A 22126-nucleotide genomic window follows, 5' to 3' on the forward strand; every position below is an offset into this window, starting at 1 on the left:
AGTCATTGGGTCTTGTTTGGGTTATTTTGTGGGACCGATGATTAATGCAGCGTGGATGTTGGTGTCCGTTTGCCAGAACTACATTGCTTAGCTTGCTTGGAAGCTGGTAAGGGGAAAGAGTAAAAAGTTAGTTACCTGTGGCGGAATTCTAGGTGTTAGTGATTCTGCCTCTTTTAAAGTGTCTCTGAACGATTCTAAATATAACTTTTTTCCTTTATAGACTGACTTTAAGACAGCTGATTCAGAGGTAAACACAGATCAAGATATTGAAAAGAATTTGGTAAGTATTTAAACTGTCCTTGTTATATGAAGCCATTATCAAATAGAAGATCTAGAGGCATATCATCTCAGTTGGAAAAGGTGCAGGAGTCCCTTTCATAAAATTCCTGACAGATGGTCAGGTGACTTTTCCTTGATCACTTCCAAAGATGGGAAGCTTACTACCTCACAAAGCAACCAGTTACGTTTAAAAAAAAAAATAGCTCTTATTGGCCAGGCACAGTGGCTCACACCCATAATCCTAACATTTTGGGAAGCCGAAGTGGGTGGATCGCTTGAGCCCTGGAGTTTGAGACCAGCCTGGGCAACACAGTGAAACACCATGTCTACAAAAAATACAAAAATTAGCCAGGTGTGGTGGTGCATGCCTATAGTCCTAGCTACTCAGGAGTCCTAGCTACTCAGGAGACAGGTGGGAGGATCACCTGTTCACCTGAGCCAAGGAGGTCGAGGCTGTGTGAGCCGTGATTGTGCGATTGTACTGCAGCCTGGGTGACAGAGTGAGACCCTGTCTCAAAAAAAATTAAAAAAAAAAAAAAAAAAAAAGGCCGGGCACAGTGGCTCACGCCTGTAATCCCAGCACTTTGGGAGGCCAAGGCAGGTGGATCACCTGAGGTTGAGAGTTTGAGACCAAGCTGGCCAACGTGGTGAAACCCCATCTCTACTAAAAATACAAAAATTAGCCGGGCGTGGTGGTGTGTGCCTGTAATCCCAGCTACTCGGGAGGCTGAGGCAGGAGAATGGCTTGAACCCAGGAGGCAGAGGTTGCAGTGAGCCAAGATTGCACCACTGCACCCCAGCCTGGACAACAGAGAAGCTCCATCTCAAAAAACAAAAATGAAACCTCTTATTAGATTTTGTTCTGAGATGAAGATAAAAACCTTATAACTTCTTGCTTCAGGCCGGGCGCGGTGACTCACGCCTGTAATCCTAGCACTTTCAGAGGCTGAGGCGGGTGGATCACCTGAGGTCAGGAGTTTGAGACCAGCCTGACTAACATGGTGAAACCTCGTCCCTACTAAAAATACAAAAATTTAGACCAGCCACGGTGGCTCACGTCTGTAATCCTAGCGCTTTGGGAGGCTGAGGCAGGCAGATTGCCTGAGCGCAGGAGTTCGAGACCAGCCTGGGCAACATGGCGAAACCCCATCTCTACTAAAAATACAAAAAATTAGCCAGGTGTGGTGGCGTGTGCCTGTAATCCCAGCTACTTGGGTGGCTGAGGCATGAGATTAGCTTGAACCTGGGAGGCAGAGATTGCAGTGACCCGAGATCGTACCACTGCACTCCAGCCTGGGTGACAGAGTGAGACTCTCTCAAAAACAAACAAACAACAACAAAAAAACAAAAATTAGCCTGTAATCCCAGCTACTTGGGAGGTTGAGGTAGAAGAATTGCTTGAACCCAGGAGGCTGAGGTGGCAGTGAGCTTCTTGCTTTAGGCCGGGCACAGTGGCTCATGCTTGTAATCCTAGCACTTTGGGAGGCCGAGGCGGGTAGATCACGAGGTCAAGAGATTGAGCCCATCCTGGCCAATATGGTGAAACCCCATCTCTACTAAAAATACAAAAATTAGCTGGGTGTGGTGGCGCATGCCTCTAGTCCTAGCTACTCAGGAGGGTGAGGCAGGAGAATTGCTTGAACCCGGGAGGTAGAGGTTGCAGTAAGCTGAGATTGCACCACTGCACTCCAGCCTGGTGACAGAGTGAGAATCTGTCTCAAAAAAAAAAAAAAAAAGTTCTTATTGTAGCTTTCTCTTGAGCTTTATGGAATAAATCCAGTTCCTTTCCTGCTTGTTAGCCATGTGTATATTTGAAGTTTTTTTATGCCTCCTGCTCTTATTCTCTTACTCCCCAAGTTCAAACCTTTCCAGGTGAAACATCCTCAGATGTTTTTAGTATTCTTTTTGATACTATTTTGATACTATTTTCCATTTCTTTATCATCATTCTGGTTACTTTCACTTAGACATGTTCTATTTTATCAATATTTGTTTTAAAAAGTGATCTTGAGAACCATATATAATAGTACAGATACAGTATAATTACTTTATAATACAGTGGGATCTCTCAGTATCTCTCATTCTAGACACTATTTCTTAAGCTTACATTGACTTATTTTGGCAGTTTTTTCATACTGTTAAGCTTTTAGTCAAATTCCATCCAGTCTTTTTTTCATGTATTATTTACTTGTGTCTTTTTAATTTTATCCCCAGATAGTTGGCTTTTGAAGAGAACGTCACACTTACCTTTGTTAAAATGCTCCCTTTGATCCATCCCTGGCCTTTTGTGGCTAAAACTTCCACCTTTAAGTATATGGATATCTAAATGTACACTTTTTAAAGGGAAGGTAATGCTGGGAAAGGCACCCCAGGAAGAGGTCTTTAGGGTAAGATATGTTAATTTATAAAGAGTGGTATAAAAAGGGAAAGTGCTTGTAGCAACCAGATAAGAGAGTGGATATTTGGTGCAAGTTGAAGAAATTGAAGGGCATACGGAAAAAAGTTACTGGTGTACATTAACCAGATGAAGCCAAGAAAAGTTTTAAAATAGAGACTAGCAACTTGGGACTTAATTGTAACAGTCAAGTAGATGAAACAGGAACGAATGGAAACCCAGCAAGTTACTGGGCCAGAAGAGGCCCAGGGTTGAGTTTTGTTTGGCTCTATCTTTTGGGTGGTAGTGAGGTCCACATGCTTTTAAAAAGGCAGTGAGGCCGGGTGCAGTGGCTCACACCTGTAATCTCAGCACTTTGAGAGGCCAAGGCAGGGGTATCACCTGAAGTCAGGAGTTCAAGACCAGCCTGGCCAACATGGCAAAACCCCATCTCTCCTAAAAATACAAAAATTAGCCGAACGTGGTGGCGGGTGCCTGTAATCCCAACTACTCTGGAGGCTGAGGCAGAGAGAATTGCTTGAACTCGGGAGGCGGAGGTTGCCGTAAGCCGAGATTGCACCACTGCACTCTAGCCTGGGCGACAGAGTGAGACTCTGTCTCAGAAAAGAATAATCTACTGGTTTCAACTTTTCTTTGGTTAAGATCCTCTTTCAGAATCTTTTGGAAACTTTGAATTCTTATCTCAGAAAAATATATACATTCATCAGTTGCAGAGAGTTCAAAGATTCCGGGGTCCACCTGTAGAAGCCAGGTTCAGAATCCCTGGAAAGGTGTGATGCTGAGTAATCAGCTGTTTGGGACACATTAGTCACATTTCAGTACATGGACTAAAGATTAGCTTGTCCCAAAGCCAAGGTCCTATCTTGAGAGCCTTTTTTATTAATTAATTAATTAATTTATTTATTTATTTTGAGACGGAGTCTCGCTCTGTCACCCAGTCTGGACTGCAGGGGCACAGTCTCTGCTCACTGCAACCTCTGCCTACCAGGTTCAAGTGATTCTCCTGCCTCAGCCTCCCAAGTAGCTGGGATTACAGGCATGTGCCACCATGCCTGGCTAATTTTGTATTTTTAGTAGAGATGGGATTGCACTGTGTTGGCCAGGCTGGTCTCGAACTGCTGACCTCAAGTGATCCACCCGCCTCAGCTTCCCAAAGTGCTGGGATTACAGGCGTGAGCCACTGCGCCCAGCCTTGAGAGCCTTTTGTTAAAATGATTATAATAGGATATTTTCCTCATTTGTTTTAAAAATTTTTTTTCTTTGAAAATGGTTATTATTTAATGAAAAAATTCAGTTTAGTGCTCTCAGTTTAAATATTATATGGGCTACTTCATACTAAATGTGTTTTAAGTTGACCCTCTTCAAATTTTAGTGTCCCTTTGAAAGGTAACCATTGATTTTCTTGATTTACTGACATGGGGGTGGCAGAGCTAAACTGTTTTCAGAAGCACTTCTATTTATTTATTTATTATTGTTATTTTTTGGTAGAGACCAGGTATTACTATGTTGCCCAGGCTGGTCTTCAGCTTCTGGCCTCAAGCAGTCTTCCTGCCTTGGCCCCTCAAAGCTGAGATTATAGGCTGGAGCCACCGTGCCTTGCCTAGGAGTCTCTCTTCTAATCCCGACTTTATATGAAAGCTTGCTGAGTTGTTCAGTCTGAATACCAGGTTCCCAGGCCTCTTTAGTGGATCCATCAGTTTTCAGTGTTGTTAACCAGTAAGGAATCATGTTCCCGGACGCTTTTTTGAGACAGAGTCTTGCTCTGTCGCCTAGGCTAAAGTGCAGTGGCACGATCTCAGCTCACTGTAACCTCTGCCTCCCAGGCTCAAGCGATCATCCCACCTCAGCCTCCCAAGTAGCTGGGACTACAGTGGAGTACTGGCATGCCCAGCTAATTTTTGTATTTTTTTAGAGTCCAGGTTTTGCCATGTTGCCCAAGCTGGTCTCGAATCCCTGAATGCAAGTGATCCGCCCGCCTCAGCCTCCCAAAGTACTACAGTTATAGGTGTGAGCCACCATCCCCAGCCAATCTCATCATATTTTACTGAATATAGCCACATATGGCTAGTAGAGTAGCTTCATTATTGGATAGTGCGGTCATAGAGCTCTATACAATGCCTTGGACAGGCACTGGTGAATGTTTCTTGTGATTAAATTAGGAAATAAGCTTTTCTTGTCTTGTTCATAATAGGATAAAATGATGACAGAGAGAACCCTGTTGAAAGAGCGTTACCAGGAGGTCCTGGACAAACAGAGGCAAGTGGAGAATCAGCTCCAAGTGCAATTAAAGCAGCTTCAGCAAAGGAGAGAAGAGGAAATGAAGAATCACCAGGTATTTTGCTTATATTGAAATTGTCAATGAGTTAAGCAACAGTCTCTGATCAAACTTTAATTTTTTAAAAAACTTTATTTATTTATTTATTTATTTTTGAGACAGAGTCTCACTCTGTCACTCAGGCTGGAATGTGGTAGCATAATCTTGGCTCACTGCAGCCTCTGTCTCCTGGGCTTAAGTGATCTTCCCACCTCAGCCTCCCAAGTAGCTGGGAACACAGGTGTGTGCCACTATGCCTGGCTCATTTTTTGTATTTTTGGTAGAGACGGGGTTTTGTCATGTTGCCCAGGCTGGTCTTGAACTCCAGACTCAAGAAATCCACCCGCCTTGGCCTCCGAAAGGAGGCCTTTTTATTTCAGTTAACTCAAAAATAAAATTAAAGTTTGAGCCATCCATGCCCGGCTCAAACTTTAATTTTATTTTTGAGTTAATTGAAATAAAAAGGCAAGGCGGGGTGTGGTGGCTCACACCTGTAATCCCAACACTTTGAGAGGTTGAGGCGGGTGGATCAGTTGGGTCCAGGAGTTCGAACCAGCCTGGGCAACATGGCAAAATCCCATCTTTACCAAAAATACAAAAAATGAGCCGGGCGTGGTGGTGTGCACCTGTGGTCCCAGCTACATGGGAGGCTGAGGTGGGAGGATCGCTTAAACCCAGGAGGCAGAGGTTGCAGTGAGCCGAAATTGTGCCACTGCACTCCAGCCTGAGTGACAGAACGATACCCTGTCTCAAAAAAAGTATTAATACTCATAGACTTTTTTTTTTTTTTGAGACGGAGTCTCGCTCTGTCACCCAGGCTGGAGTGCAATGGCACAATCTCGGCTCACTGCAAGCTCCGCCTCCTGGATTCACGCCATTCTCCTGCCTCAGCCTCCCAAGTAGCTGGGACTACAGGCGCCCGCCACTACGCCCGGCTAATTTTTTGTATTTTTTTTAATAGAGACGGGGTTTCACCATGTTAGCCAGGATGGTCTCGATCTCCTGACCTCATGATCCACCTGCCTCGGCCCCCCAAAGTGCTGGGATTACAGGCGTGAGCCACTGCGCCAGACCACTCATAGACTTTTAATAAAGAATGTTCGGATAAATTAGATACATCCATATGTTATGCAGCTATTTTTGAATTAGATCGATACTTATTGACAATACATTCATGTCAAGTAAAAGAAATCAGAATGCAAAATAATGTATGTAAAATGACCCCATTTAAAAATAACAACAACAACAACAACAAAGAAATGCATACCTAAGTATACATGTCTTTGTGTGAGCATAGAGAAAGATGTGAAAGCATAATACAAAGCAGTTAACACATTGATTACTCTTATGGGTGGAAGTGGTATGAAGTGGGGGAGTGACTCTTTATCACCTTTGTATTATTTTACTTTTTTTTTGATACTGGATCTTGTTTTGTTGCCCAGACTGGAGTGTAGTGGGTACAATCAAGGCTCACCGTATCTTTGACTTTCTGGGCTCGAGCTATCCTTCCACCTCAGCCTCTCGAGTATCTGGACTACAGGCATGTGCCACCACACCTGGCTAATTTTTTTTATTTTTTGTGAGACAAGATCTCTGTATGTTGCCTAGGCTGGACTCGAACTCCCGGACACAGTGATCCTCCTGCCTTGGGTTCCCAAAGTACAAGGATTATAGGCATGAGCTACTGTGCCTGGCCTGTTTGACTTCTTATTTAAAAAAAAAAAAAAGTGTGCGTTTGTACATATGTATATCTGTGTGTATATGTGTGTGTGTATATATGTATGTATTTGTTGTTGTTAAAGAGTAAAACAAACAAAACCCATACATAATAAAGTAGAATCACAACAAAATGAAACAAGACAATATTTGTTGGATGTAACAGACCCTCCCTGGTACAAGAACACCTTTCTCAGCATTCTTGACAGGTGTTCATTCAGCCTTTATTTGAACACCAGTAATGAAGAGCTTACTGCTTCACAAGGCAGTATATTTCATTTTTGAACAATTGCGATTGCTAGAAATTATTTTTCCTGTTGAGTTGAAATCTGCATTACTATAACTTTCTCCTTTAGGTCTGAATACTGGCTTTTGGAGCTACTCATCAACCACATTCTTTCAATTCAATTTGAATTCACTAAAGTCAATACGTGAATTTGTGATAGTTGAAAATAACCTTTGCATCAAAAGAACTAACTTATTTTCTTTTTTATTTGTGTGCGACTGTAATTGTGTGGAACTCAGGAGATATTAAAGGCTATTCAGGATGTGACAATAAAGCGGGAAGAAACAAAGAAGAAGATAGAGAAAGAGAAGAAGGAGTTTTTGCAGAAGGAGCAGGATCTGAAAGCTGAAATTGAGAAGCTTTGTGAGAAGGGCAGAAGGTAACTGATGTTAAGAATAAAAACCCTGTGTGTATGTATATATGCATGAGGGGCCAGACCCGTTTGTATTTGTAGTTTCTTTCCCTTCGGTTTAATTTTTATTTGAAAAACAAGTGTACAAGTAAAAACTCTCCAATGACTTTAGCTTTTTCAGTATCAAACATTAGACTTAATAGAAAAAAGTTCAGAGATTTATTAAATACTTTGAAATAATAACAGTTAATTGTTGAGTCCCAAGTGTGGTCAAGAGTTCGATACGGGCTGGACGTAGCGGCTCACACCTATAATCCCAGCGCTTTGGGACACCAAGGTGGGAAGATTGCTTGAGGCCAGGAGTTTGAGACCAGCCTGAGCAACCTAGCAAGACCCCCTCTCTACAAAAAATATTAAAAAAAAATTAGCTGGTTGTGGTGGCACGTGGCTGTAGTCCTAGCTACTTGGGAGGCTGAGGTGGAAGAATCACTTGAGCCCAGGAGTTCCAGGCTGCAGTCAGCTGTGATTACGCCACTGCACTCCAGCTTGGGTGACAGAGCAAGACCTTGTCTCTTAAAAAAAAATTTTTTTTATATGAATCTAACACCGATCTCACTTTATAACCTGATATTTACAAGTTCAGACCATGGGACAGGCACAGTGGCTCACGCCTGTAATCCCAGCACCTTGGGAGGCCGAGGCAGGTGGATCACGAGGTCAGGAGATCGAGACCATCCTGGCCAATATGGTGAAACCCCATCTCTACTAAAATACACAAAATTAGCCAGGCGTGGCGGCGTGCACCTGTAGTCTCAGCTACTCGGGAAGCTGAGGCAGGGGAATCGCTTGAATCCAGGAGGCAGGAGGCGGAGGTTGCAGTGAGCTGAGATCGTGCCACTGGACTTCAGCCTGGCAACAGAGTGAGACCCTGTCTCAAAAAAAAAAAAAAACAAAACAAAAAAAAACAAAGTTCAGACCATGAGCATATTTTGAATGATTACATTTGTGTTATTCAGCATCCAAAGTAAATTTCAAACAGTAACATTGTAAGCTGTTTGTGAAAGAATTATTTAGAGGATTTGTGTCCTTTTCTGGGTACTGCAGAAAAAGCAAAGTGGGCATAGAATTTGGTCAGCTTCTCAATTTTCTAAGTTTCTTTTTTTTCTTTTTTTGAGACGGAGTCTTGCTCTGTTCCCCAGGCTGGAGTGCAGTGGCACGATCTCAGCTCACTGCAAGCTCCACCTCCCGGGTTCACGCCATTCTCCTGCCTCAGCCTCCTGAGTAGCTGGGACTACAGGCGCCCGCCACCATGCCTGGCTAACATTTTTGTATTTTTAGGAGAGACGGGGTTTCACCGTGTTAGCCAGGATGGTCTCGATCTCCTGACCTCATGATCCGCCTGCCTCGGCCTCCCAAAGTGCTGGGATTACAGGCATGAGCCACCGCGCCCAGCCAATTTTCTAAGTTTCTTAAAATGACCTGTTTGGAAATCATAATAGCTGTGAATACTCGGTTGATTTTATTTAAATTCTACCAAAATGTTTTTTGTTTATCAAAAAAATTTTGGCTTTTGCTAATGCGTCAGACTGCTGAGTTAGCAAGCTCATGTGCTGAATCATTTTCTGAGTCTCCAAGATAATAATTGTGAAGCTCAACATGAGGAATTGTGTTTGAGAGAGGGCTTGTAGACCAATCAGTTGTTCTGTTGAGAATCTAGTGATACTGAATGATTAGAAGGTGGGTCAGTTGTCTATAATGATAATTTTCCAGAAATTATGAGGAGTGTACCTGGAATAGAACATTATCCCAGCCACTGTTAGTGATCAAAGCAGTTGCTCCCACCCCATGACATGGTCTCTGCCATTGTCTTCACAATCTGTGTGAGGAAGATGACCATAGGCATGTAGCAACTTAACAGGAGATATTAAAGTGCAGAAACTGGGAAGATGAGTCTATAATGTTATTCTAAGCCCCGCAGAAAATTTCCTTTTGATGTGTGTTCTTTACATTCTTTTTTTTTTTGAGACAGTCTTGCTCTGTTGCCCAGGCTGGAGTGCAGTGGCGCAATCTCGGCTCATGCAAGCTCCACCTCCCGGGTTCAAGTGATTCTTTTGCCTCAGTCACCTGAGTATCTGGGATTACAGGCGAGTGCCATCATGCCCAGATAATTTTTTAAATTTTTTTATAGAGATGAGAATCTCACTCGTTGACCAGGCTAATCTCAAACTTCTGGCTTCAAGCGATCCACCTGCCTTGGCCTCCCAAAGTGCTGGGATTACAGGTGTGAGCTACCGTGCCCAGCCTTTTTTTAATTTTTAATTTTTATTGTTTTTTACCTTCAACAAACTCACTTTTACTCTTTACATTCTTTATGTAACTCTACTACCTTTTCCATCTGATTGAATTGCTACAGATGGTGATTGATACTAATAATTTTGGTGTTTGTGTTCTTGAAGATCCATTTTTTTTCTTTAAATGTATATGTCACGGTGTGAGAATAATGTTTTCTGCCATTCTTTCTGTTAAATGTGGGGTTCAGTTTTCCGGAAGCAGGGGGAATGTCTCTTGTAGGTATCTTTGTTCTAGCAGTGGTGTAGGTTCTGCTTAGCATTCCATCATTCATAGGAACCGGGACACATAGATTTTGGTCATTATATTATTCACCTTGGCCTGCCATAACAGAATACCACTGACTACGTGGCTTAAACAGCAGAATATTTTACAGTTCTTGGAGGCTGGAAATCCGACATAAAGATGCTGGCAGGTTTGGTTTCTGGTGAGAATCTTTTCCTGGTTTGCCGACAGCTGCCTTCTTCTGGTCTCACATGGCTTTTGTGCTATGCATGCACATTCCTGGTGTCTCTTCCTCTTATAAGGACACCAATTCTATTGGATTAGGTTCCCACTTTATGACTTCATTTAACCATAATTGCCTCCTTCAAGGCCCTGTATCCAAATACAATTACACTGGGGTTAGGGCTTCAAGATACGAGTTTTAAGGGGCACAATTCAGTCCATAACAATTGTATTTCCTGTTTATAGTGTTTTCATTCATTTGTTCAGCCAGCATTTATTGAGTATCTACTATGAGCCAGACAGTAGGGCCTGGAGAGTAAAAAGTCTTCAAAGAGATTACTGTTTATTGTGAGAGACATAGATAAACAGATGATTGCAAAATAGTGTAATGATACCATGACAGTGGTGGTATGAAAGCATCTGAAAGAGGCATATAACCCATACTGGGTAGGGGGAGTCACAGAGGGCTTCCCAGGGAATATCATTCCAGAACTGAGTCCTGAAAAATAAGGGGCAGAAGATAACCACCAAATGAAATGCATGATCCTTGGTTTGATCCTGAATTAAACAAAGTATAATTATAGGACATTTTGGAATAATTGGGAAAATTTCAATAGTGACTACGTGTTAAGTAATACTGTGTCAGTGTTATGTATTTTGGGTGTATAAACCCATGTTGTTGAAAAAAGTTTAAGAAATTAAAAAAATATTTTACATGTGATTATGACATTGTTTCATTATGTAGAAGGATGTTCTTGTTCATAAGAGATACTTGCTGAAGTTTTAGGAGTTAAGTGTCATGATGTAAATGTGGCAAAAAAAATGCAACAACTGGTAAATTTAGATGACAGGTAGACATTCATTTTATTATTTTTATTTATTTATTTATTTATTTTTTTTTTAATTTTTTTTTTTTATTGATCATTCTTGGGTGTTTCTCGCAGAGGGGGATTTGGCAGGGTCACAGGACAATAGTGGAGGGAAGGTCAGCAGATAAACAAGTGAACAAAGGTCTCTGGTTTTCCTAGGCAGAGGACCCTGCGGCCTTCCGCAGTGTTTGTGTCCCTGGGTACTTGAGATTAGGGAGTGGTGATGACTCTTAACGAGCATGCTGCCTTCAAGCATCTGTTTAACAAAGCACATCTTGCACCGCCCTTAATCCATTCAACCCTGAGTGGATACAGCACATGTTTCAGAGAGCACAGGGTTGGGGGTAAGGTCACAGATCAACAGGATCCCAAGGCAGAAGAATTTTTCTTAGTACAGAACAAAATGAAAAGTCTCCCATGTCTACCTCTTTCTACACAGACACGGCAACCATCCAATTTCTCAATCTTTTCCCCACCTTTCCCCCCTTTCTATTCCACAAAACCGCCATTGTCATCATGGCCCGTTCTCAACGAGCTGTTGGGTACACCTCCCAGACGGGGTGGTGGCCTGGCAGAGGGGCTCCTCACTTCCCAGTAGGGGCGGCCGGGCAGAGGCGCCCCGCACCTCCCGGACGGGGCGGCTGGCCGGGCGGGGGGCTGACCCCGCTGACCCCCCCACCTCCCTCCGGGACGGGGCGGCTGGCCGGGCAGAGGGGCTCCTCACTTCCCAGTAGGGGCGGCCGGGCAGAGGCGCCCCTCACCTCCCGGACGGGGCGGCTGGCCGGGCGGGGGGCTGACCCCCCCACCTCCCTCCCGGACGGGGCGGCTGGCCTGGCGGGGGGCTGACCCCCCCACCTCCCTCCCGGACGGGGCGGCTGGCCGGGCGGGGGGCTGACCCCCCCACCTCCCTCCCGGACGGGGCGGCTGGCCGGGCGGGGGGCTGACCCCCCCACCTCCCTCCCGGACGGGGCGGCTGGCCGGGTCATTTTATTATTTTATTAACTTTTTCTTGGTTTGAAATTTTCGAAGAAAAAGTAGCAGGGGTCAGGGTAGGTATAGGGAAGAATTAGCCAGGCAACAAATGAAGGAAAAGACACTGCCGGCAGGGGGCTCAGAGATGTGAGAGAAAAGCAAGCAAGACGTGAAGTGGGGGAGTGAGGCCAGATCAGAAAGGCTTTTATACTGTGTTAAGGAGTTTGGGTTTTTCCATGATAGAGATATTGAAGGATTTTAAGGGAGGAGAGTATCAAATGATACAATTTGCATTTTATTTTTATTTTATTTTACTTTTTCATTTTTTGAGACAGAGTCTCACTCTGTTGCCCAGGCAGGAGTGCAGTGGCACGATCTTGGCTCACTGCAACCTCCACTTCCTGTGTTCAAGTGATTCTCCTGCCTCAGCCTCCTGAGTAGCTGGAACTACAGGCCTGTGCCACCACGCCCGACTAATTTTTGTATTTTTAGTAGAGACGAGGTTTCACCATGTTGGCCAGGCTAGTCTTGAACACCTGACCTCAAGTGATGTGCCCGCCTTGGCCTCCCAAAGTTCTGGGATTACAGGTGTGAGCCATCCTGCCTGGCCTATGATTTGCATTTTCAGTAGATTACTTGGGCAGTTGGAAAATGGATTGGATTAGTGTATTTGACCAGTTAGGAGACTTATCTTGTCAGAGCCTAGGTTAGCATAATTATGGCTGAAACTAAAGTAGTGCCAGTGGGAATGAGAGAAGTGAACACATTTGTAAGACATTTAGGGGCAGCACTGATCAATGTGGGTAGACAGGGTTGAGTTAGGGATAACTCCCATATTTCTGGCTTGGAAAATTAGGGAAATAATGGGATTCTTTGATAAGATGTCTTATCTGTCTTATACGTTTTAACTTAAATTCTGCCTTCTTTGCAAAATTGCCTGTGCCATTTCTTTATGAACTGAATCTGAATTTTTTTTTTTTGAGACGGAGTCTTGCTTTGTCGCCCAGGCTGGAGCGCAGTGGCGTGATCTTGGTTCACTGCAGTCTCCACCTCCCGGATTCAAGCGATTCTCCTGCCTCAGCCTCCCGAGTAGCTGGGACTACATGTGCCTGCCACCACGCCCAGCTCATTTTTTGTATTTTTAGTAGAGACGGGGTTTCACTGTGTTAGCCAGGATGGTCTCGCTCTCCTGACCTCCTGTTCCGCCCGCCTTGGCCTCCCAAAGTGCTGGGATTACAGGCATGAGCCGCCTCACCTGGCCTGAAATTTTTTTTAATGTTTTATTCTTTTAGTGCCATATATCTGGTAATTATTTGATAAGTGTTTATTCTATCACTGGATTGGAAATTAAGGGAATTTCACATTAATATTAATTAAAGATGAATTTACTTAATAGAAATCTGCTAAGTGCTTTGTACTATTTGAAGGTAGTCACTATGTATTTCAATGTAATTATAATTTTTTTATTTTTAGAAACAGGATCTCACTCTGTTGGCCCAGCTAGAGTGTAGTGGTACAGTCATGGCTCACTAAAGCCTTGAACTCCTGAGCTCAAGCCATCCTCCTGCCTCAGCTTCCCAAGTAGCTGGGACTACAGGTGTGCACCACCATGCCCATCTAAGTTTTTCTGTTTTGTAGAGACTGGATCTCAGTTTGTTGGCCAGGCTGATCTCAAACTCCTGCCCTTGACCTCTCAAAATTTTAGGATTACAGGCGTGAACCACTGTGCCTGGTCTAATTATAATTTTTAAAGGAGACAAACTGAATTTACCAAAGTGTAAAAGATCAAATATTTAGTTTAGTCATGTATTTGATTTTTTTTCTCCTGGACACCTGGCTGCTTTGTCCTGGAAATTGTCTTGCTTTTGCAGGGATAATTTCTAGTTCTCAGCTTTTATCCTTCAGGTTATTGCTGGCATTAGAAAGGTGAGGTTTCCCTGTTAGTGCTCTTCCAGTGCAGAACCTCTTTTAAGCTCCCTACCTTTAACAGTGACTTATTGTGTGCAGGTGCGATGGCTTATGCCTGTAATCCCAGCACTTTGGGAGGCCAAGGCGGGAGGATTGCTTGAGCCCAGGAGTTTGAGACCAGCCTGGGCAATATAGTGAGACCTTATCTCTATAAAAAATAAATAAATAAATAAACGACAACAACAACAAGACAACGGTGACTCATTGAGAATGGCAGTAAGTAAGGCTCGTGGTGACCCTGTGTTTTAAAAGACATAATTGATTTATATTTTCATGGATGTAGCTTTGGACAAGGAGCATAAAAACTGCAATATCAAGCAATATTTTTCTTCTTTAAAAAAAATTCTCTGAACTTGCCTGATCAATTCATAGGATAGGTAAGTAGCAGATTAAGGGAGTTATTCATTGGAAGCATCACTCTGGGTGTAATATAAGAGTCTATGTTGGCTGGGCGCAGTAGCTTGTGCCTGTAATCCCAGCACTTTGGGAGGCCGAGTGGGGCAGATCACCTGAGGTCAGGAGTTGGAGACCAGCCTGGCCAACATGGCGAAACCCCATCTGTACTTAAAAAAATTAGCCAGGTGTGGTAGTGGCCGCCTGTAGTCCCAACTACTTGGGAGGCTGAGACACAAGAATTGCTTAAACCCGGGAGGTGGAGGTTGCAGTGAGCTGAGATCGCGCCACTGAACTCCAGCTTGGGTGACAGAGCAAGACTCCATCTCAAAGAAAAAAAAAAACAAAGTGCATGCTAAATTAAAATTGAGGCCAGGCAAGGTAGTTCACACATGTAATCCTAGCCCTTGAATGTACTTGAATGTCCCACTCAAGTGTCCTTCTGACTTTGTCTTATTCCCAATAAATTTACACTTTGACCGTATCAAGATCTCTTTCTTGTTCAGTGACCCCTCACTCCATTTCCTTTGAGTCTGTCAACTCCCTGGAAGTATTTCTTTCCATAGCCAGCCTAGACTTATGGTCTGTTACTGGATTTACTTGCTTACCATTACCATCAATTCTCTTGGTGCCTTGTTCTTTTCATTTTATTTTCCTGTATTACTCCAGTCCTGAGTCAAGTCAGCCACCTGACCTCTTCGTTCTTCTTCTTTTTTTTTTTTGAGACAGAGTCTCGCTCTGTCACCCAGGCTGGAGTCCAGTGGCACGATCTCAGCTCACTGCAACCTCCGCCTCCTGGGTTCAAGTGATTCTCCTGCCTCAGCCTCCTGAGTAGCTGGGATTACAGGCACCCACCACCATGCCCGGCTAATTTTTTATATTTTTATTAGAGACGGGGTTTCATCATTGTTGGCCAGGATGGTTTTGAACTTCTGACCTCAAGTGATCCACCTGCCTCGGCCTCCCAAAGTGCTCAGATTATAGGCTTGAGCCACTGCGCCTAGCCCACCTCTTCATTCTTACACCTGGGCTGCTGAGTGCTGCTGGAGAAAATCACACAACTGTGTGTCTTGGGGCCAGAATACATTTATGACTTACAACATCACCTGGATCCTCAGATGTATTTTTAGTAGAGACAAGGTTTCACCATGTTGGCCAGGCTAGTCTTGAACTCCTCTTCCTCAGAGGTCTATCCCAAATTTAAATCTCTCTTTCTAAACTTCCTGTCTCCACCATTTCTCTTCTTACCCTTAGCAGATGATCTTGTCTTTTATTTCTCAGAAACAAGGTGTCATCAATGGAAACTTCCCTCAGTTTTCTAACCATCAGCAGAGGCATTCTTCCTTTCTTCCTGTCCTTGTATCTGAGTCTATAATTCTACCTGTGTGTGCATCCCACTCCCTTTTGCTTCTGCTATTTCTCCATAGATGACTCCACTTTTTCCTCTAGTGTGTAAGCTGAATACTGGGGCCATCCTAAATTCCCCTCTTAGCCCTTTCCATCACATGCACTTTACTATGTCTTGTAGGTGCCCTTATTTTTGTTCTTTTTACAATTTCATTGTCAATATTCAATATAATTTCTTGTTTTTATTCTTTAATTTTTTTTTCTTCGTAGAGACAGGGTCTCAACTCTGTTGCCCAGGCTGGTCTTGACCCCCTGGGCTCAAGTGATCCTCCCACCTCAGCCTCCCAAAGTGCTGGGATTATAGGAATGAGCCACTACACCCAGCCTCTTGTGTATTCTTAGTATTAATTATTCTTTCTCTCTGTCACTGGCCACTACACCCAGCCTCTTGTATATTCTTAGTATTAATTATTCTTTCTCTCTGTCACTGTCAAGTTCTCTTTAGTTTTCGTAGAGTACCAAGGTGGGCTCCTAAACTTTCTTTGCTTCCTGCCTGCCTCCTTTCTCATTGTCTAATTCACTGCTACCATTGAAATCATTCCAAGATACAAATCTGATAATGTCATTTCCCTGCTTAAATTTTTTCATAGTTCTGTATAGTATTTAGGGTAAAGTTTTAACCCTTTACTTAGTATAAGAGGCCTTCAGTTACCTCTTTCACATTTATATCTCTAGGTATGACCTTATTACTTGCCCACACAACCGTGCTGGTTTATACCTAACTACTATATGCAGTATTCTGAACGTACTTAAAACTCAGCCTGTGCCACCTGCTCTAGAAAGCTTTCCCAGACACTCTCCCTCCCTCCCCTTTACACACCCTGACTGACTAATATAGCTAATCCTCCTCTTCACTCACCTAGCATGTTGTGTATACTGCTATCATAACACTTCTTCGTGGCCTTTTTTGTTTACTTAACTGCTTTCACCATTATATAGTTAGCTTCTTGAGGACAACTGTTTTGATTAGCTGTCACTGTGTAAAAATACCACTGTAAAAGTTAATATCTTGAAACAATAGTATTTTATTATTTCTCACAATTCTTTGGGTGGATTGCTTCTCAGATGGATGGTTCTGTTGGCCTTGTTTGGAGTCATTCATGTGGCTCCGGTCAGGTTGTGGCTGGGGCTAGGATATCCAACATGGCTTCATTCATATCCCTGGCACATTGTGGGGGACTCCTGGAAAGCTGAGCTCAGCTGGAACATTGGGATGCCATGCTTTTCTCATTCTCACTCTTGCCATATAGTCTCGGGGCTTTTCCCTCTCCAGGTGGTCTTTCCAGCAGATGAGCCAGATTTCTTACATGGTAGCCCAGAGCTCTGAGTTCCAAAGCAGAAGCTGCCAGGCTCTCTTAAGGCTTAGATTTTGAACCAGTACAGTGCTAGTTCTGTGACATTCTGTTGGTCAATATGAGTCACAGGACTAACCCAGATTTGTGTGGGAAAGGACTACACAGAATGTGATCACTAGGAGGCTTGGTTCATTGGGAGGGGCTCATCTTTGGAGACTTGCTACTACAGCAAGTAGCACATTTCACTTTTTCTGCTTAGTATATAGTAATATCTTCTAGATACGGGAAATAATAAAAGTTACACAAATAAGAGATACATAATTAAAGATCTTTTAGAAATATTTAGGATGAGTTGTAGGGAGAGACAGAGACTGGGACATCAGCCAGTACACTCTTTGCAATAAAGTGAGTATAATTATAAGAATCATTATGGCCTGCCGCAGTGGCTCACATGCCTATAATCCCAGCTCTTTGGGAGGCCAAAGTAGGAGGATTACTTGAGCGCAGGAGTTCGAGACCAGCCTGGGCAACATGGCGAAATCCCATCTCTACAAAAAATACAGAAATTAGCTGGGCATGTTGGTGTGTGCCTGTAGTCCCACTACTTGGGGGGCAGAGGTGGGAGGATTGCTTGAGCTCAGAAGGTCAAGGTTGTAATGAGCCATGACTGTGCCACTGCACTCCAGCCTGGGCAACAGAGTGAGATCCTGTCTCAAAAAAATCATTATCAGACTAGTGGTGGAATGAAATGAAATGGAAAAGAAATGGATTCAGGAAGAATTGTCTGATTATTTTGAGAAACAAAACAGAAAAAGTAAAAAATAACATCACCGTTGGAATTCTTGTTCTCAATTTTGAGGGTGAAGTCATACATTTGATGATATGGGACATTCAAGTACTCAGTAGGTCATTGGAAATGAGAGACTTGAATGTAGAAGAGATGCTCTGTCTTGATTGAGAGTTGACAACATAGAGACGATAGTTACAATGGAAGGGAATTTTTGGTGGGAAAATAGAGAAGGGCTTAGTACTACACTCTGAGTTATACTTACAGTTTGGGAGTAGAAGTAAGTAGGAAAGACAAAAAGAATAATGAGAGAAAGAAAGGGAAATAGTTTAGAATAGTAGTATGCATTTTCCAAAGGAAGAGGATGCTTAATAGTATTAGAATCTGCAGGGAAATAAATGAGAACCAAGTCTGAATAATACTAATTGGTAATTGTTGAGTGTTGTGATGCTATTCAGTAATCAACTGGGATTTTTAGGCAAAGGAATTAAATTACTGGATTTACTTCTCCCCTAATATTTTGTTATGAAAATTTTCAAACATTGAGAGAAGCTGAAAGTATTGTACATTAACACTGACCACCTGGATTCAACAATTAATATTCTACTACAGTTGTTTTTGTCAGCCTTTCCATCTGTCATGCCTCTATCTATTCATCAATCTGTCTTTTCTTTTTCTTTTTTTTTTTCTTTTTTTGAGACAGAGTCTCGCTCTGTCGCCAGGCTGGAGCGCTCACTGCAACCTTTGCCTTCCAGGTTCAAGCAATTCTCCTGCCTCAGCCTCCCTAGTAGCAGGGACTACAGGTGCATGCCACCACACCCAGCTGATTTTTGTATTTTTAGTAGAAATGGGGTTTCACCATGTTGGCCAGGATGGTCTCAATCTCTTGATGTCATGATCCACCCACTCGGCCTCCCAAAGTGCTGGGATTTACAGGCGTGAGCCACCACGCCCAGCCCCGTCTTTTCTTTTTCGTTGAGAGGAGACACCACACGAGGTCTTATTTTTTCTTTCTTTTTTTTTATCTGAGGTCTTATTTTTTCATTGCATATCAGAATAAGTTGCAGTCATCAGTAACTTTGCCCCTGAACATATATACATGTACATAATTAATTAGAGTTTAATATTATTTATTTGCATTTTTGGGTAATAAAATGTATATGCAGTTAAATATACAAATCTTTTTTTTTTCTTTTTTCACTTAGCAAGTCCACTGGTTGAAAAATACATAAATCTTAAGGGAACCATTCAGTGAGTTTTGACAAATGTATGCACTTGAGTAATTCAGACCCCATCAAGATATATAAAATACATTACTGTTAAACCTGAAAGTTCACTCTTGTGCCTTCTCAGTCAGTCCCTGCCCCCACTCTCCCCAAACCAACCATTGTTGTGGTTTTTTACCATAGTTTAGTTCTGCATGTTCCAGTGCTTCACATAAATGGAATCAATCTTATACAGTGTACTCTTTTGTATCAGAATTATTTCTTTCGGCAGAATGCTTTTAATATTCATGTTGTCCGTTTTTACTGTGTTTATTCTATTTTATTTTATTTATTTATTTTTGAGAATGAGTTTCACTCTGTCGTCCAAGCTGGAGTGCAGTGACATGATCTTGGTTCACTGCAACCTCCGCCTGCCGGGTTTGAGCAATTTTTCCACCTCAGCCTTTCGAATAGCTGGGATTACAGATGTGCACGATCACGCCCAGCTAATTTTTGTATTCTTAGTAGAGACAGGGTTTTGCCATGTTGCCCAGACTGGTCTCAAACTCCTGACCTCAAGTGAGCTGCCTGCCTCGGCCTCCCAAAGTGCTGGGATTATAGGCGTGAGCTACCGTGCCCGGCTTTATTGTTGAATAGTGTTCCTCTTACTAATGTATTGGAGTTTGTTTATTCATTCTGCTGTTGATGATCATGTAGTAGTTTCCAGATTTTGACTGTTAATGAATAAAGCTGCTATGAACACTCAAGTGCAAGTCATAAAGACTTCAAACATATTCTTTTATTTCTCTTAGGTAGATTCCTAGCATAATCTGCTGGGTTGTAGGGTAGATGTATGAACAGTTTTATAAGAAATGGCCAGATATGCTTCCAAATTGCATATACCATTTTACACTCTGTCAACCATATATGAGAGTTCTGGTTGCTTCACATCTTTGCTATTCAAGGGCTTGCATAGTGGTATTTCATTGTGTGTGTTTTTTATTTTTTAGAGATTGCAGATGGTTTGAATCATTGTGGTTTTAATATCCCTAATGACTAATGATGGTATCTCTTTTTCTACTTGCTTATTGGCCGTTTGTATATTTTATTTTGGGAAGTGTCTAACTTTTTTATTCCTTTTCTTGGGGGGTTGAGTTTTTGAGTTTTTATTGTTGTGTAGTAGAAGTTCTTTTTGTATTTTGAATATAAGTCCTTTGTCAGATATATGTTATGTAAAAATTTTCTTCTGCCCTCTTACATGACTGTTTACTTTTTAATTGCATTTTTGGTGAAATAATGTCTAATTCATTAAAACTTTTCTTTTATAGTTAGTGCTTTCTCTGTCTCCTCTAAGTTACCTTTGCCCACCCTGAAGTAGCAAAGATGTTCTCCTGTATTTTGTTATGGACGCTTTATCATTTTAACTTTTATATTCATGTCTCTGATCCATCTCAAATTCTTTGATTTTTTTTTTTTTCTCCCCCTGGGAGGCACAACATTGGAATGTGTGTTTGTTTTTTTATAGACGAGGTCTCACTATGATGCCCAGGTTGGAGTGCAGTGGCTATTCACAGGTGCAGTCATAGCTCACTGTAGCCTTGAACTCCTGGCCTCAAGCAATCCTTCTGTCTCAGCCTCCCAAGTAGCTGGGACTACAGCCATGTACCACCACACTCTTCAAATTAATTTTTGTGTATGGTGAGAAGTAAAGGTTGAGGTTCATTTTTTCCATGTAGATATCCAGTTGTTCCAGCACCATTTATCGAAAAGACTTTCCTTTCCCTATTTGATTGCTTGGCACTTTTGCCAAAAACCAAATGACGGTATGAGTCACTTGTATGAATAGTAGGTGTAATTCTGAATACTATTCTATTGTGTTGATATACTTGTCTATATACTACATTACACTGTCTGCTGGGCATGGTGGCTCATGCCTGTAATCCCAGCACTTTGGGAGGTCAAATCACTTGAAATCAAGAGTTTGAGACCAGCCTGGGTGACACAGTGAGACCTAGTCTCTATTTCTTTTTTTTTTTTCTTTTTCCTTTTTTATTTGAGACGGAGTTTCACTCTTGTTGCCCAGGCTGGAGTGCAATAATGGCGCGATCTTGGCTCACTGCAACCTCCGCCTCCCAGGTTCAAGCGGTTCTCCTTCCTTAGCCTCCCGAGTAGCTGGGATTACAGGCATGCGCCACCACGCTCGGCTAATTTTGTATTTTTTGTAGAGACGGGGTTTCTCCATGTTGGTCAAGCTGGTCTCGAACTCCCGACCTCAGATGATCCGCCCGCCTTGGCGTCCCAAAGTGCTGGGATTACAGGCGTGAGCCACCTCGCCCGGCCAAGATTTTCTACATAAACAGTCATGGTATCTCTGAGTACACACAGTTTTATCTTCCTTTCAAACCCTTAAACCTTTTATTTCTTATAAATATTATTGCACTGGCTAGGACCTCCAGTACAATATTGAATAGAAGTGGTAAAGTAGATATCTTTGCCTTGTTCCTGCTCTTAGAAGATAAGTCTTTAATATTTTACCATTAAGTTTGATGCTGACTATAGGTTTTTTGTGTATGCCTTTTGTCAAATAGAAGAAGTTACATTCTATTTCTAATTATCTGAGACTTATTAAAATGAATGGGTACTTCATTTTGTCAAATGCTTTTTCTGCATATTTATAAATTATTGGCTGGGCTCAGTGGCTCATGCCTGTAATCCCAGCACTTTGGGAGGCCGAGGCGGGTGGATTACCTGAGGTCAGGAGTTGGAGACCAACCTGGCCAACATGGTGAAATCCCATCTCTACCAAAAATATAAAAATTAGCCAGGCATGGTGGCAGGCGCCTGTAAACCCAGCTACTCAGGAGGCTGAGCCTGGAGAATCTCTTGAACCTGGAAGGCGAAGGTTGCAGTGAGCTGAGATCACGCCACTGCACTTCAGCTTGGGCAACAGAGCAAGACTCTATCTCAAAAAAATTATCAAATGATTTTTTTCCTTTATTATGTCAATACAGTGTATTACTTTATTTTATTTAATTAATTTTTGTGTGAGTGTGACAGAGTCTCCCTCTGTCGCCCAGGATGGAGTGCCGTGGC

At 42.6% G+C, this 22126-nt stretch overlaps 1 protein-coding gene across 3 annotated transcripts in view; it reads left to right on the forward strand.

Moving 5' to 3' along the window:
* RNF214 (ring finger protein 214) overlaps positions 1-22126 on the forward strand; it is a 53784-nt gene that overhangs the window by 6910 nt on the left and 24748 nt on the right. For all 3 annotated transcript variants that reach the window (NM_207343.4, NM_001077239.2, NM_001278249.2), the window contains exons 4-6: positions 221-280; positions 4865-5005; positions 7229-7368. In NM_207343.4, the coding sequence (NP_997226.2) occupies positions 221-280; positions 4865-5005; positions 7229-7368 (341 nt within the window). The remainder of the gene's footprint in view (positions 1-220; positions 281-4864; positions 5006-7228; positions 7369-22126) is intronic.

Source organism: Homo sapiens, chromosome 11, assembly GCF_000001405.40.
Source record: "Homo sapiens chromosome 11, GRCh38.p14 Primary Assembly".
Classification (NCBI taxonomy): domain Eukaryota; kingdom Metazoa; phylum Chordata; class Mammalia; order Primates; family Hominidae; genus Homo; species Homo sapiens.